The sequence below is a fragment of the Homo sapiens genome, chromosome 13 (assembly GCF_000001405.40).
Source record: "Homo sapiens chromosome 13, GRCh38.p14 Primary Assembly".
NCBI lineage: Eukaryota > Metazoa > Chordata > Mammalia > Primates > Hominidae > Homo > Homo sapiens.
In genome coordinates, this window is record NC_000013.11 from 37558113 (window position 1) to 37573341 (window position 15229).

Below are 15229 nucleotides of genomic sequence, written 5' to 3' on the forward strand. Positions count from 1 at the left end.
AAAACCACAATGATATACCATCTCACACCAGTCAGAATGGCTACTATAAAAAAGTCAAACAATAACAGATGCTGGAGAGGTTGTGGAGAAAAGGGAACACTGATACACTGTTGGTAGAAGTGTATATTAGTTCAGCCATTGTGGAAAGCAGTATGATGATTCCTCAAAGAACTAAAAACAGAACTACCATTTGACCCAACATTCTCATTACTGAGTATATAACCAGAGGAATATAAATGATTCTACTGTAAAGACACATATGTGTATGTGAATGTTCATTGCAGCACTATTCACTATAGCAAAGACATGGAATAAGCCTAAATACCTATCAAAGATAGATTGGATAAAGAAAATGTGGTACATATACACCATGGAATATTATGCAGCCATAAAAAAGAATAAGAGCATGTATTTTGCGGGACCATGGATGGAGCTGGAAGCTATTATCCTTAGCAAACTAACAAAGGAACAGAAAACCAAATACCACATGTTCTCACTCATAAGTGGGAGCTAAATGATGAGAACTCATGGATACAAAGAAGGGAGCAACAGACACTGGGATCCACTTTAAGTGGGAGGATGGGAGACAGAGCAGCAGAAAAAGTATCTATTGGGTACCAGGTTTAATACGTGGGTGATGAAATAATTTTTACAACAAAGCCCCGTGACATGAGTTTATCTGTATAACCAACCTTTACATGTACCCTCAAATCCAAAATAAAAGTTAAAAACAAATCACAGGGGAGGTGTTGGAGGCCAAAAGATTGAGGGTCATGATCAACTCAGTATACCACTGGGGGCTATATGAGCAAACAGCAAACTGTTCTCATAAATGCAGAATGTTGGCAAACTGACAAACTCTGTCTGTCTGCCGCTCAGAAGGAATGCTGAGGGCAGTCACGCCCCAAGCGCAGTGTTTCTTGTGATTAGGCACATCTGAAGCCTGTTAGTAATAATAGGAACCTGTGATCAATTAAGCAGCTGACCAATCGTTACCTCCTCCTCCCTGCTCATTCTACCCAATAAATACAAAGGGCTGTGGAAGCTCAGGGGGGCTGCAGCTGCCTTTGCTCACTGGAAGCAGGGAGCCCTCTTCTTCTTCCCCTGGCCCCTTCCTTTGAAATAGTTACTTTTGTCTTAAGTTTTTATTTCTATGTTCATCCCTTTGTTCAGTCTTGTAATGACAGTCTCAAGTAGTAACTGTTGTAATGAACGGTCTCAAGTAGTAACAGTGGTAACTGTTGTAGTAATGGTCTCAAGTAGTAACCATGATGGTCTGCCACAAGTGGCACCTGAACAGGGACAATCAGGGACAAACAGAGACCTGAAAAGGCCTGCAGGGACAAATAGAGATAAGTAGGGATAAATAGACATAAATAGAGATAAAATAGAAATAAATAGAGACAAATAGAGATAGGCAGGGAAAGACAGAGACTTGCAGGTACTAACAGGGGCCATAGGGACAGACAGGGATAGATAGGGATAAAGACTAGTAAAAGACTGGCAGAGACTAGCAAAGACTAGCAGAAACTTGCAGGGACAGACAGGGAAAGATAGGGACAGATAAGGTCCTATAGGGACTTGAACGAGGAAGGTCTGCTGGAACAGAAAAATCTAAAACCAACCAGATGAATAAGAAACCCCGTTACAAGTCTGTCAGCAGCAACATAAGGTCAGTGCTCTAAAAAGGTACTGGTCAGTGCCCTACAGGTGCAAAGAATGGGAAGTTTTTGAATCAGGATAATATGGGGAAGAATTTGGTTATTTCTTTTCTCTTTTTTGTTTGGAGTTTGGTATGTACCATCTTTCTGTCATTATTTCAGGGCTTGAGAGAATTTTTTTTGCCCCACTTACAGCACCTATAGAAAGTGGTGAACAGGAGAGGCTTGTACCATCTTCTTTTGTGGCTACAGAAAGGCTAACTTTAGCTTTGGCTTTCATGGATTGTAAACATGCACTGGCACCTGTGAGATGTGCAGAGGACTTGGGAGGTTTTCTCACAGCTTGTCAAGATGTGGGAGCTGAGCTTCATCGCTCTACGGTGTTGACTCAGGCAATGGCTAATTTGGTAGCTGACAGATCTAAAAGAAGCCAAAGGTTAAGCCATAAAGTGGGAAAGCGTTATAAGTGTAGAAAAATTGGACATTTCAAAAGAGAATGCCGTCAGACCTCTGGGCAGAAGGGATCTTATAACACTCTTCTCAACAGAAAAAATGCCAGGACTTTGCTCTCATTGCAATAATGAGTTTGCAATGACTTTTCTCTCATTGCAATAAAAGAAATCATTGGGCTAATCAATGCCATTCAAAATTTCATCAAAATGGCACCCTCCTATTGGGAAACGAGAAGGGGGCCTGGACCCGGACACTTCAATGAGGGCAGTCCACGTCCAGGCCACAACTCCATTTCAGGGGTGAGTTTCCGGAGGCTCATTGATTCCCTCTCCCCAGGAACACCTAGAAGCACAGAATTAGATCTCCCAGTCAGAGAACGGGTTGCATTAGTTGGAGGAGACAAACCCACCAAGATTCACACTGACATTTGAGGACCTTTACCAACAGGATACATGGGATTAATTTTGGGCAAAAGCTGTCTTAACTTACAGGCCTAGGAGTTGTTGATTTGGATTATGAAGGAGAAATTCAGGTAGTGGTAATGTCACAAGATCTTTGGGTTTTGAACCAGGAGAATATATTGTGCAACTGTTGCTTATTCCCTGTAAATTGCACCCTTCTCTACATAAGGAGAAATGAGGAGGTCGGGGATTTGGAAGTACAACTAGGAGAGAGATTTATGTATCACAACCCATAGCATCTAGCGGACCCACCTATACAGTGCAAATGGAAGGTTTAAGGATTGCTTTTTTGCTATATTGTTGTACGAGAAGGATAAGCCTCGATTTGCTTTCTCTGTGCCTCCTGTTAATCAGAAAAATCCTGTTTCTCATTATCAGTGGAAAGTTTTACCCCATGGCAATTAACCAAAGAGGCAGAGGCTGAGTTGCAGCTTGTAGAGCAGTCACTTTGGGAGTGGCATGCCTTGCGGCTACATCCATAAAGGCTTTTGCTTCTGTTTCAGTAGATTTACTAACATAGGGACATGCCATCAATGCTGATGATATTTTAGTCTATTCTACCAGTACCACCTTATGTAACCACCTCTTCTGAATCATCTTGGGAAGATCACAGCCACACCCTTTCCAGCTGAGATTCTCTCCATTGGCACAGAGTTAGTAGGGTATTTTCTAAATGGTAGAAATAAATCTCTCTACTCTAAATGGCGGGTCTCTAAATGTTAGAAATAAATCTCTCCACTCTCCCAGATGAGAAGGCATTCTCAAAAACCAAAGCTATGCAGCACTTCTTTAGCAAATGGCACTCTCAGAATTTTATACCTAACTTCCTCACCCTAATCACTAATCAAACAAGAACCTTTCAGTTATCCAAGCCCCTTTCTAGGTCCTTTGTGCTGAGCCCGATTTTCTCTGATCTCAGGTGGGCAATTTATGGCTAAGCCTGTTATCTTCAGTTCGGCCTTCCTAGGTTTTACAGTCTCCCAGTGAGTGCCCTATAATGCATGGTATAATTCTATTTCACCCTCACCATTCAGTTTCTCATCAGTATGGATTTTGTTTCCAGAAGGTTCTTATGTCAGTCAGTCTAAGTTAGAATGACACCTGTTGAGGTCTGAGTTGATCAAGTCAATCTTTTCATCATTCCCAGCAAAAAAATTTCTTCTTCTTCTTTGGCATGCAATGGACTCTGTTACATCAAATAAGTTAAGGACATCTCTGTGGCTCCCCCATGCCTAGCCCAGGAATAATGAATTGATGCATCCCTGCTTGTGTAGTGCCATTTATGATACTATTATAGCCAATGGTGTATTGAGGTTAATTGGTTACATGTCTCCTTACCTTTGGAGGACAGTAAATGTGCCTGATTCATCCTTTGAATCCTCACAGCTTAGCAGAGTCCTAGGGTTATATTCAGTATTCAGCTGATGTTTAATGATTGCTTCATTATCTAATGATTCTTTTTTTTTTTTTTTTGAGACAGTGTCTGGCTCTGTTGCCCAGGCTAGAGTGCAGTGGTGCAATCTTGGCTCACTGCAAGCTCTGCCTCCCAGGTTCACGCCATTCTCCTGCCTCAGCCTCCTGAGTAGCTGGGACTACAGGTGACCACCACCACGCCCAGCTAATTTTTTGTATTTTTAGTAGAGACGGGTTTTCACCATGTTAGCCAGGATGGTCTCCATCTCCTGACCTCATGATCCACCTGCCTCAGCCTCCCAAAGTGCTGGGATTACAGGTGTGAGCCACTGTACCCGGCCGTCTAATGATTCTTTATATAACTTAATCTGTACAAAAACCCCCATGACACATGTTCACCTATATAACAAACCTGCACGTCCTGCACATGCCTGCACACCCCTGAGCTTAAAAGTTAAAAAGAGAAAAACTCAAGAAACACTAATTTCATTCAATTTCCTTTAATGAGTACTTGTTACAGTAAAAGAGGTATAAAGTCCTGTTCCCAAGTCCAAACCACTTTTTAACTTAAATCTTGAGTTTTTCTGAATTACTCAATTTGAAGTAATTCTCTTTATATCTGAAAAATGGTTTTATTGAAACGTTTGAGATTAAAAAATATGCATTGCAAGAAGCATATGACAAACATTCTGAGAGTACAAAATTAGTTGTAAAAAATAACATAATTTACCAGTAAACCCACTCATATAGAAATGTGCAAAGCCTTTTGATATAAAAAGTTTTGTACACCAAGCACCTATTTTTATAACTTAGCTTCCCATGGAGAGATAATGGCTTGCGTGCATTTTATGTATCCATAACATACATACAAGGCTCGGTCTTTTCAATGGGATAACAGTTCACAACTCTTCGATTTGAATTGTAATGAATCTGGTGACAAGGATTTTTCTCTAATGGATTCCAAAGTTAGCCAGAACTTTTAATGTCAAGATGAAAAAGGGTGTAAGGTGTTATATTTTCTTCAATTCCTTTACCACAGGAGGCTAACTCCACAATTTCCCTCATGTTTCTCATTCAGAAAAAAAAATATTAAATTTGTGTTCAGAATTATTTGATGATTGCTTCTTTGTGCTGATGTTTCAGTTCCTGAAGTCAACTTGGCTCTCACAATTTTCTAAGGTCAGGTTATTGACTTAGGGTTGTATAAACATTTTTTTCTGGTTTTTGGATTTTCACTGAGAACGACCTTCCCTTAATCGTCTTCTAGATCCTAATTAGAAAGAAAGGAGAATGTATAGACTGTAAATGTTAGGAAATTTTAAAATTTAAGAATATATTATTCTCTGTATATCTATCAGAGGCCATTATTTTTTGTAATAAACCTTAGATTATGTTTTCTTAATATCTTCAACTTATGGTGAAGCAAATATTATATTTTGATCAAAAGTATATAAAATAATAATTTGAAATTTAATAATTTTAACTCTTTAGAAAATTTGTGTCAATTTGGATATTTACATAGATTTACTGACACATTCTTTAGTTAAAAAATATCTGTGCAGTTGATCTTTTACTTTCAAAGGTCTGTATATTGGATTGGTTTAAAGTAAGAAGTTCCTATAGCGCATTGATAAGCCTTGTGTCTCCTTTTCACTACTAGTATCTAATTAACCCAGAAATTCCAAACTTGCAATTCCAAACTTGCAATTTACTCTAGCTTCCACAAGGGAAATTCTTGCTCTCTCAATGTATTGGAATGTAAGATAACTTAAGTGGAGGAATTAGCAAATGCACATAGTGTAATTATGAAATAAATTGTAATGCACATGTGATATATACATATATAATCTACATATTTAAATGAACATTTTGTAAATAGCTATATTAATGGTTTTTTGCATATATACATTTCTTATTTACTTATGTCTCAAACTGTAGCATTGTCTCACATAATAACATTTTTAAGGATTCAGGTCCACCTGCAATCTACATTTGTTTATCTCTGATATTCAACAATTTCTTTTTGACTTAACTCTTATATACACAAAATTATATGTATACTTGTATATACAAAACATTACATATATATATATATATATATATATATATATATATATATATATATATATGTATGGAGAATATACACTTGAGTCTATCTCAAGGGTTCAATATGCCTAGCAGTTTACATGAGTATGTTGACCTTTCCCTTAATATTTGTTATTAGATTCTGATAGTATAGAACATGAGAAATTTATTTTCTGATTGTTATCAAAATTGTTTTCATCAAAACTGGCTAGCTTTTCTCTCTGATCGATAACAAGTTTCAATAAAATACTTTAAAATCTTTCCTATTGTTTGATTTCTCTTCATGTAACAAAAGAGGCCATATACACACATTACTATAGCCAATACACTTACCTTGAACTTTTTTGTTGGCTTGCAACTTCCTCACGGGTGTGTCTAAAATTAAATTGTTGTAGTTAGAAATACTTCGCAATTATGGCTAAAATCAGACAGGAGACCATGGTTAAACAGAACAGTGTAAAGTCTTAAATAAGTATCACTTAAACACGAAGATTATTTTTAGTAGTTAAATTTTATGATCCTCAGAGTTTTACATTTTTTCGTAAAGGACAAGTAGACAGACAGTGTTTTCCATATATCATAATGAATGTTTCTTAGTTGCAAAACACATTGTTTCATTATGGATTTTGGAACCCCACCTAATGTGCCATTTTTGCAGAGTAAATGACTTACATGATTTTTTCAATCTTTTTGTAAAAAACATTGCCTTATGATGAAGGGTTATTAAATGTCATATAAAGTTTAACACAAGTATCTTCCCAGAGTTAGCCACCCATTTTTGCAGTCATACCTATGTGCAATGTCTGCCTCTGTAAAATTATCACTAAGATCAATTTGTGATTCCTTTATTGTACATTGACGACAACAAAGTAGCACTGACCTAATGATTCTAGAAATGTTATAATAAGTAATTCAGAAAGAATATGCCATCACCCTTGTTCCACCTCCCAACCTGATTCAGTGTCAATCCTATGAGATCCTTTTAAAAAATTAACTAATAAAAGCTTTTATATTTAAGAACTGCAAGTGTTTCAAAACTATGCTGTTTTGTGTTGTTATAGTTGTAACATATTTCTCAATTTTCCTGTTTTTCTTTTAGTTTATTGACAAGACTACCTGGTCGGCCTAAATTCACATTTTCATTCAGTTTTTGGGCATTTGAGATCAAAGAGTAAGTATGGTTTCTACAGTTACTTCATTTTTCTACTTATCTTTTTAAATTTTTTCTCCAAATTTTGACTTCTTTTATATGTATCATCTATACTCAGCATGAAGTCCAGTTTTTTCTATTATATACATGTTTTCAATTCGCTGAAATCATATAAAAAGTAAGCAATGAAACTGTCACCATGAATAGTTTTGGCTATATGACACCAAGCAAATTTTTTAAAAAAGAAATAACATTCAAAACAACTTATATATTCTGTTTCTGTCTACTTAGCACATTTTCACATTTCTTTCCCCCCAGAATATAAGGCATATAATCATTTATAAAACCACATTAATACTAGAGTAAAATATAGAACTATAGAAAAATCTCACTATGTTGGATAATGGGGAGAAGTCTGTGTAAAACAACCAAGTCTGAGTTATGAAATATTCTCCAACAGATATAAATAGATGTAAATATAAATATTTCTTAACTTCAGGTTTATTTGGTAACGAAATAATGGCTTCTAAAAAATTGTCAAGAAGAGACAGATCCAACCTTTAATTGGTGTGCAGGCACATTGCTTATAGTGGACTTATTAAATTCCAAATAGCAGTTAATTGTATAACTTAAAACTGCATCATAGAAGTATTTACCAATTTCTTTTCAAAACAAGTGTGCTCACTCAGATTTCCTTTCATAATTTTGATAGCATCCAATTAATGAGGTTTTGCTGTGATAATATTCCAGAATAAAAAACATTCAATGTGTCAAACAAATACTTTGAAAGAACAGCTTGATTAATGTGTAGAAAACAGGTTTACTCCTAGCAGCTCTCTGCTATGTCAACATGAATGAGAGTTATATTAGATCATGTTTAGAGCAGCAAAACATGGGAAGATAAACCAATTACTTGAATATATTGGCACAAAGAACCACCCTACATCTTATTTCCTAAAGCATGCAAAGTACTCAGCTCAATTATTTTGACATTTTATTTGCATGTTTGTTTTTTGTATGTTTCCATGGTTATGACTATGGAAATTTAAAGTTGGGTGAGAAACATTACTTAATTGACCATGTTAATGTCAATTGATGATTGACAGTAACATTTGATGACAGCTTACTTTGTGCTGAACATTGTTCTAAGAGCTTGTCATATATTAACTTATTTAGACTGTAGGTATCACTACTATCCTCACTTTCAGATGAAGGAAACAAGCAAGAAAAGAGTCAACTAATTTGGGATTGAGTTGGGGCTCAGACTGAATGCAGACCTACAACTCGATCTACTATTCTCTATAGAGGTTACAAATCTTAACCTCTTATGTTGGCAGATTTGCGAAAACCTTCAAAAATGACTTTTTGTTGTTGTTCCTTTCGACATAGTCTGTTATTCTCCTTTAATTGCTTGAGTCGTTTCAGAATGCATAATTCTAAGGTAAGCCCAAAAATTTTATGCATTTAATGAGAAATTTTTTCAGTTAAGGTCTTGGAAGTGTATCAGTGACAAATCACAACATCAGTACTCAAAGTACCAGTTAGCCATGTTAATAGTCATGACTTAAATGATTGAGAAATATACTCAAATTACCAAAAGTACAAAAAATGTACTACATGGCCGGGCGCGGTGGCTCACGCCTGTAATCCCAGCACTTTGGGAGGCCGAGGCGGGCGGATCACGAGGTCAGGAGATCGAGACCATCCCGGCTAAAACGGTGAAACCCCGTCTCTACTAAAAATACAAAACATTAGCCGGGCGTAGTGGCGGGCGCCTGTAGTCCCAGCTACTTGGGAGGCTGAGGCAGGAGAATGGCGTGAACCCGGGAGGCGGAGCTTGCAGTGAGCCGAGATCCCGCCACTGCACTCCAGCCTGGGCGACAGAGCGAGACTCCGTCTCAAAAAAAAAAAAAAAAAATGTACTACATGTACCACAATGTATACGATATGAACTGTTTAGATAGAAAATTCAGTTTTAGGTAGAACTTATTGAGTTGAAGAGCATGGTTCAGATATGTATTAATTGGCCAGACCTTGGAAAAAAAAAAAGTCTTACATAGTGTAATCTTTACTAGCTTCTTTTATCAATGCCTTTTAGGATCTAGACAAGGGGATACTTGTGACTCAGTAATGACCTGATGGTTTTAGATAGCTGGAAAAAAGAAAACAAGCATGTCCAATTAATGCTGGTACTAGTAATTCTACCGCATATAGTGTTTTTCCTACAAAAAGCAAAACCTTGGAGAAATGATTTGATAAAAACTTTTAATTTTTTTTGTTTTTTCACAATGCTATAATAGTTGACGTGGCATTGTGAAAACCGATGCCTTACAGATATGTAGAGAGATCATACACTGGGAACTAAAGGAATAAACTTCTGGGATGATCAGAGGCAAGAGCTAAGAAAGGAGTTCATTAACTAAAAATTGAATGTCATATACTTAACTTGTAGCAGTTATATGTTTTCTTGGCTGAAGCAATTCTTTAGTATTTAACTGGATTTTTCATAGTGGCCTCAATAACAGGGGCTTATCAAAGGGGAAGAAAATATACTTACCTGAAATTTAATCCTAAATGAATTAAAGCAATATAAACTGATGCAGCTACTAATTTATTGATTCCCTAAAAAGCACTACCATTCTACAAAGCTGCTTACTATGGCAAGGACTGAAAGAAAAAAAAAAGAATTCAATTTAATCTTCATAATGTGTTTGTCTCTTCCCTCAAATCCTTAGATTTTTTTCCTAGCAGACAGTTGAGCATTTAGGGGTAGATAGTGAATTCTTTGTTAGATCCTACAGGAATCTTTGGTTCCGTTATGGCTCTGTTGTGCTATGTACTCTTAGAATTCTGGGAGGAAACTTGTATTTTTCAGACATATATATTTCTATTGAGGGAAAATTCAATCATTGGTTGAATTAAAAATTTTTAAACTATCACTGACAAGTTTCTAAATACTATTTAAGAGATTTTACGTTTATTAAACTACAGAATATAGAAATAATAATTGCTAAAAATATAGAAAGTCCCAAGATAATTTACATTTTCTTGGACATAGTGATACAGTTTTAAAAAGTATAAGCTGAAAAGCCATCTGGACTGTGTTTTGGATAAACATCAAACTTCAGTTATGTTTCTCAATTAATAGTATATTTCAAAGTGCCTATTTGGTTTTTCTAAAGAATATAAATACATGTTTCACAAAAAATAATTTTTCAGCTTAATTCTTTCCTTGTTAAAAAATGAAGTAGAAATTTGTTTATTCAAATGCCAATGATACAAATTATGTATCTATATAAACAACATCTTTGAATAATTACTATGTAGGGTTTGTGTAAGATTTTGAATTCTTTTTTTTTTGTTCTTAAGGTTCATTTAATGCCACAGACAGAGAACATTCCATAAAAGATTAAGATTAATTTTATATGCAAAATAACTTATATCTACAGGTATAGATTATCACTCAAACTGTTAGAAGAAACAGATATTCATTCCCAAGAATATAGTTTTGGAAAAGAATGTTACTAAATGCACTATTTTTGGCTATATCTATGTATAGAATTTAAAGACATGCCTTGATTGCTCTTATGGGGGCAGTGAATATAATTTTTTAAATATAAAAAGTATATCAAATTTGGGCTTGTTTAACAGCTAGCAATTTAACAATTATTTCCCTTTTGCATACTTAAAAGGCCCTTAAAATTATCTGAATCAAAGCAAAAAAAATATTCATTGCTCCCCAAACTTTATACCATAGAACTTTTTAAAGACTGTTTAAACTAGTAATCATTTCTTCATAACTATTAACTACCATTGAACCAATCCATCTATTAAGACAACAGTGGATGTTGTCTTTTTTTTTTTTAACCCAATTAAAAGAAAAAATCTGCTTGCTCAGTCTTTAAAAAGTTGAACTCAGTCACTAGAACCTGTTAAGGGGGTTAGTTGTTGTCCTTTTACTAACCTCCCTGAAGCAGTCTTTTAATTTCTTCATCTTCAAATAAATGACCATCACCACCTTCAATGAATTTGGTGACCTTGGTGACCTCTGAGAGGATACATGTTTATAGCAGAAATTGGTTTATATAACAAAATAAAGACAGCAGACTTTATGTCATAAATAATGGCATCTGCCCAATAATGAATTCCAGCCCAACACTCGATTCTTTCACAAATTTTAGTGCTGTTTTCTGACATACTAATATTCTTATAAAGTTGTTGAACAAAATACTGTATAAAAAATATGACTGCCATTTATGCTTAATTCCTTATTCTTGTGCTTTTTTCTTGTTGGTATGGAAATGAACAATAGATTGAGATAGAGTAGAAAACATGTAGAATGTTATTTTAGACTTGTATATGGATAGCTTAGGTAAAGTCACATTCTTATTTTCCTAGAAATGCTGACCTTCTTGTAACAATTTCTTCAGAGTTTCTTCTGTTTCTCCACCTCCAGTAGAAATCCTAGTGTATTTTATTTCAGGACCTATGAGAAGGACAATGAAAAAGGTCTAAAACAGAAGTAGGCAAACTTCTTCTGCGAAGTGACAGAGAGTAAGTATTTTACACTTGTGGGCCATGTAGTCTGTGTTGCCATTGTTCAACTCTGATACTTCAGTGTGAAAGCAGCCTTAGGTATTATATAAATGGATGGGAAAGACTGTGTTCCGATAAAACTTTATTTCCATAAATGGGTGGCACAAGCCACACTTGCTCACTAATTGTTTAAACAAATACTTAAAGAATAGCTGAATTAAGGATTTTCGGCGAATTTTAGGCTAATTTGGACCAACTGGACGCTAGTTTGGAAGTCTGATATGAGGTTTACTGAAAATATTGATCAATTGCTTTGTATAAACTTGCTTCTATTTTGGCAGGTAGATGTACAGACCTTAAGATTAATGGAAGCTCAAATGAGGAAATGGCTTTTCTTCTAGGGTCCTCTAACTCATTAACAAACAGTAAAGTGAAAATGGAATATCATATCAATGGTATATCATATTACATGTATGTATGCATACATGTAATAAAAACAAATGCTTTTAGATTTGTCTACAAATTTTCAATTCAGAGTAAAACATAGATTACATATTTAGAATAATATTATATCTGCCAAAATATGAAGTAACTTTAGTAATCACTATGAAAATGACTTGTTTCTTTAATGATTCTTATATTTGGGGATTAACTATAATTTGATCTTTATAATCTAGGCATAGATCCATGTATGGAATTAATGGCTACCTGTAATGATTCGTTCTTCTCGTGTCTCTTTTTCAGTTATTTCCACAGGCACTCCATCAATGATTTTGGTGTATTTTTTAATAATTGGCTCTAAAAGCAGGGGAATACAAATGCATTTGATTTACCCTCATATTGTGACTATACATCCATAAGCTAGACATTGTAATGATTAACTATATTTCTACAAATATTACCATTTAAGATTCAATCATAAACATTTTTAGAACATATCCCCCAAAAATCATATCAATAGGGATCTAAAAGGTAATAGCTATGTCCTGAATCTTGGTTGAGAGAGAGGGCCATTTGACATCCTAACTCTCCATGTCATACTTGTTTTCTGGATGTGGAATAAATACTTAGTGAGAATCCAGGGAGTTCTATATCATTGGAATGGGAGCCCTATCATAAATCCTAGTAGTGGAGTGGCTTATTAGACAGAGACTTATACAATGGTCATTTTTTCCTACTGTTTCTAATATTTCCTTTTATACTGACATTAATGTTACAATTTTATTCCACAATCCTCACTTGTATATGCAAAAATCATGACATTTTGTTGGGCCCAGTGACTTAATAGATAAATTAATTCCAACTAGATCCATTAAAAGCTAACTATGTTTTATTTCTGACCAGCTAATAAGAACTCATAGCTGAGGAAATAATTCCCACAATTTTTATAAAATAAGAACTAAGAGAAAATATCAGATGTTCAATATTTCTAAACCAACACTATTTCAAAATAATCACAGCGAAGGTAGTCGGCCCCAGGTAACATAAGGAACGCACCTCCATGGATCACTTCAGTTATTGTTTCACCTTCTTTAATCAGTCTGAATTCAGGTTCACCTTCAATTTTGACTTTTGTTAGTGTGGGTCCTGGGACATTATTTTAGGAGACAAATTATCATGTTAAAACAGTCCTTTAAATTTACCGGAATAGGACATTTATTTCAACATTCGGTGTGACTCAACTCAAATGTCAAAGTGGTTTCAGGCTCTATGAAATCACTTTTAAATATTTCCCATTGTCTTCAAATTAGACAAGAGTTATGAGAACAAATGATTTAGTCTGTTTGTGTGCTACTAAAATTACTTTCATCTGCTTTAGCTTTTAAACAGATGGATAAATCCATCTGTTTATTCGTAGTTATAAAGTATGATTATGCAAAATATTATATGTGGCTACACTTTGCAGATCATGCAGTATGTACACATTTGTGTTTCTCTGATAACTGGTGTAGATCCCACTTTATCATACTGATATTGTCTATTACTTTTTCCTTATTAAAATTTTTCATTTAAGTTTTAAAATCACTCAGTACCTTATATTTTTGATCTAGTGGGTATAGGAGTGAACATAAGAAAGTACCAAATGTATACCTACCTTTAAGATGCTGAATGTCAGGTTTTATGAGGAAAATAATTTGAGTACTTACCTTCTGTATGGGAATGATACACAATTAACCAGTTAATAGTTAAACAGTCCTTCAAATGCAAAAGATAAACTAGTGTTGCATTTGACTTGCAAAATGATTTTGCTACCACAGAAAATCATTTTGAAGGTTAGAAAGCTGCTTACTACATTAGTTAATTAAGACTGTTTCACAGAGGAGTAAGAAAAATAAGTTCAGTACATTTAACTCATACTGTAATAGCCTTCAATAGTGGAATGCAACTGTTGCTTGCTTATCTTTGAGAGCATTTTTTTTTGCTTGTTCAGAAATTGTCAATGTACATGATTACCAAAACGAAACCAGCCTAGAACAATCCAAAATAATGAAAATAAAAGTAAAGTTTTTTGAAACCATAAGTATTTCATGCCATAATATTTGATATATAAGGCCAAGGGATATTGAGCACAAAACATAAAGCCAGGTTTTTAAGGTGCGGTAACTTCAAAAGAAAGGACGCCTAAGGAATTTAAGAACCAAAAATGCGTTAATAAAATATCTAAATCAATATTTCTTTAGAAAAGCCAAACTGAAATTTTGGAAACATCCTTTATAGTTAAGCTCTATAAAAGAAGAGATTTTCTCAAAATTGTTTTCCTATTTACTCCCAACACCTCAGAAAGTACCCAGCAGAATAGCTGCTCAATAACTATTTGTTGAATTGAATTTTAGCTGATTTATTCTTAATTCCAAAATGCTGTTATGTATCTTTTATAAGAGACACCTTAAAATTGTGTCCTGGAGTTTAATTCATTTAGTAAGAATTTAAAAGTCATCAATAAATCTGTAATTGTTCAAATAGTAAGAAGGAAATGCCAGTAGCAATCCTGGAAGCTGGACCATTGTAAATTACTACTAAGATAAATATTTGTTTCCTTCATTATGCTACACAGGAGTGTAATTTCTGAACTCAAGTTATTAATGAGTAGGTGACACAACTCCATTTTTCATCCATGTTCCCTTTATAAGAAGAAGCCATGTAGAGATGACCCGCCAGTATGATCTTAACTGAATAAAGATTAGTAGGATAGAATCCTACTGACAAAGATTGAGGAGATAAATAAGTTGAATAAAGAAGCTTCAAAGGAGAAGAATCTTTGAAAATAAGAACATTGGCACATGTAAATAATTTCAGGTAAAGAAGCTGTGCACAATTATAGTGCAAAATTTTAGGGAATCTGATTTTTAAAAACAGGACAAGATTTGATTTTAAAATCAATTGTATTATCAAAGATCATTGTGTCATGTTTTATTACAATGATCAAGGAACATTTTTTCAACAAAACTTTCTGATTTAATTTCTTCTTA

General features: G+C 34.6%; 1 protein-coding gene across 14 annotated transcripts in view; it reads right to left on the bottom strand.

Annotated features, from left to right (window-relative positions):
• Positions 1-4472: 4472 nt before the first annotated feature.
• Positions 4473-15229, bottom strand: part of POSTN (periostin) — a 36184-nt gene continuing 25427 nt past the window's right edge. For 3 of the 14 annotated variants that reach the window (NM_001424174.1, NM_001135935.2, NM_001330517.2), the window contains 5 exons: positions 13257-13346; positions 12468-12557; positions 11632-11709; positions 6407-6448; positions 4473-5258 (listed from right to left, as the gene is read on the bottom strand). In NM_001424174.1, the coding sequence (NP_001411103.1) occupies positions 5221-5258; positions 6407-6448; positions 11632-11709; positions 12468-12557; positions 13257-13346 (338 nt within the window). In that variant the 3' untranslated portion in view covers positions 4473-5220. Of the gene's footprint in view, positions 5259-6406; positions 7385-11187; positions 11272-11631; positions 11710-12467; positions 12558-13256; positions 13347-15229 lie in introns of those variants that run through there. The other 11 variants (NM_001286665.2, NM_006475.3, NM_001135934.2 and 8 more) reach the window with 7 other exon arrangements.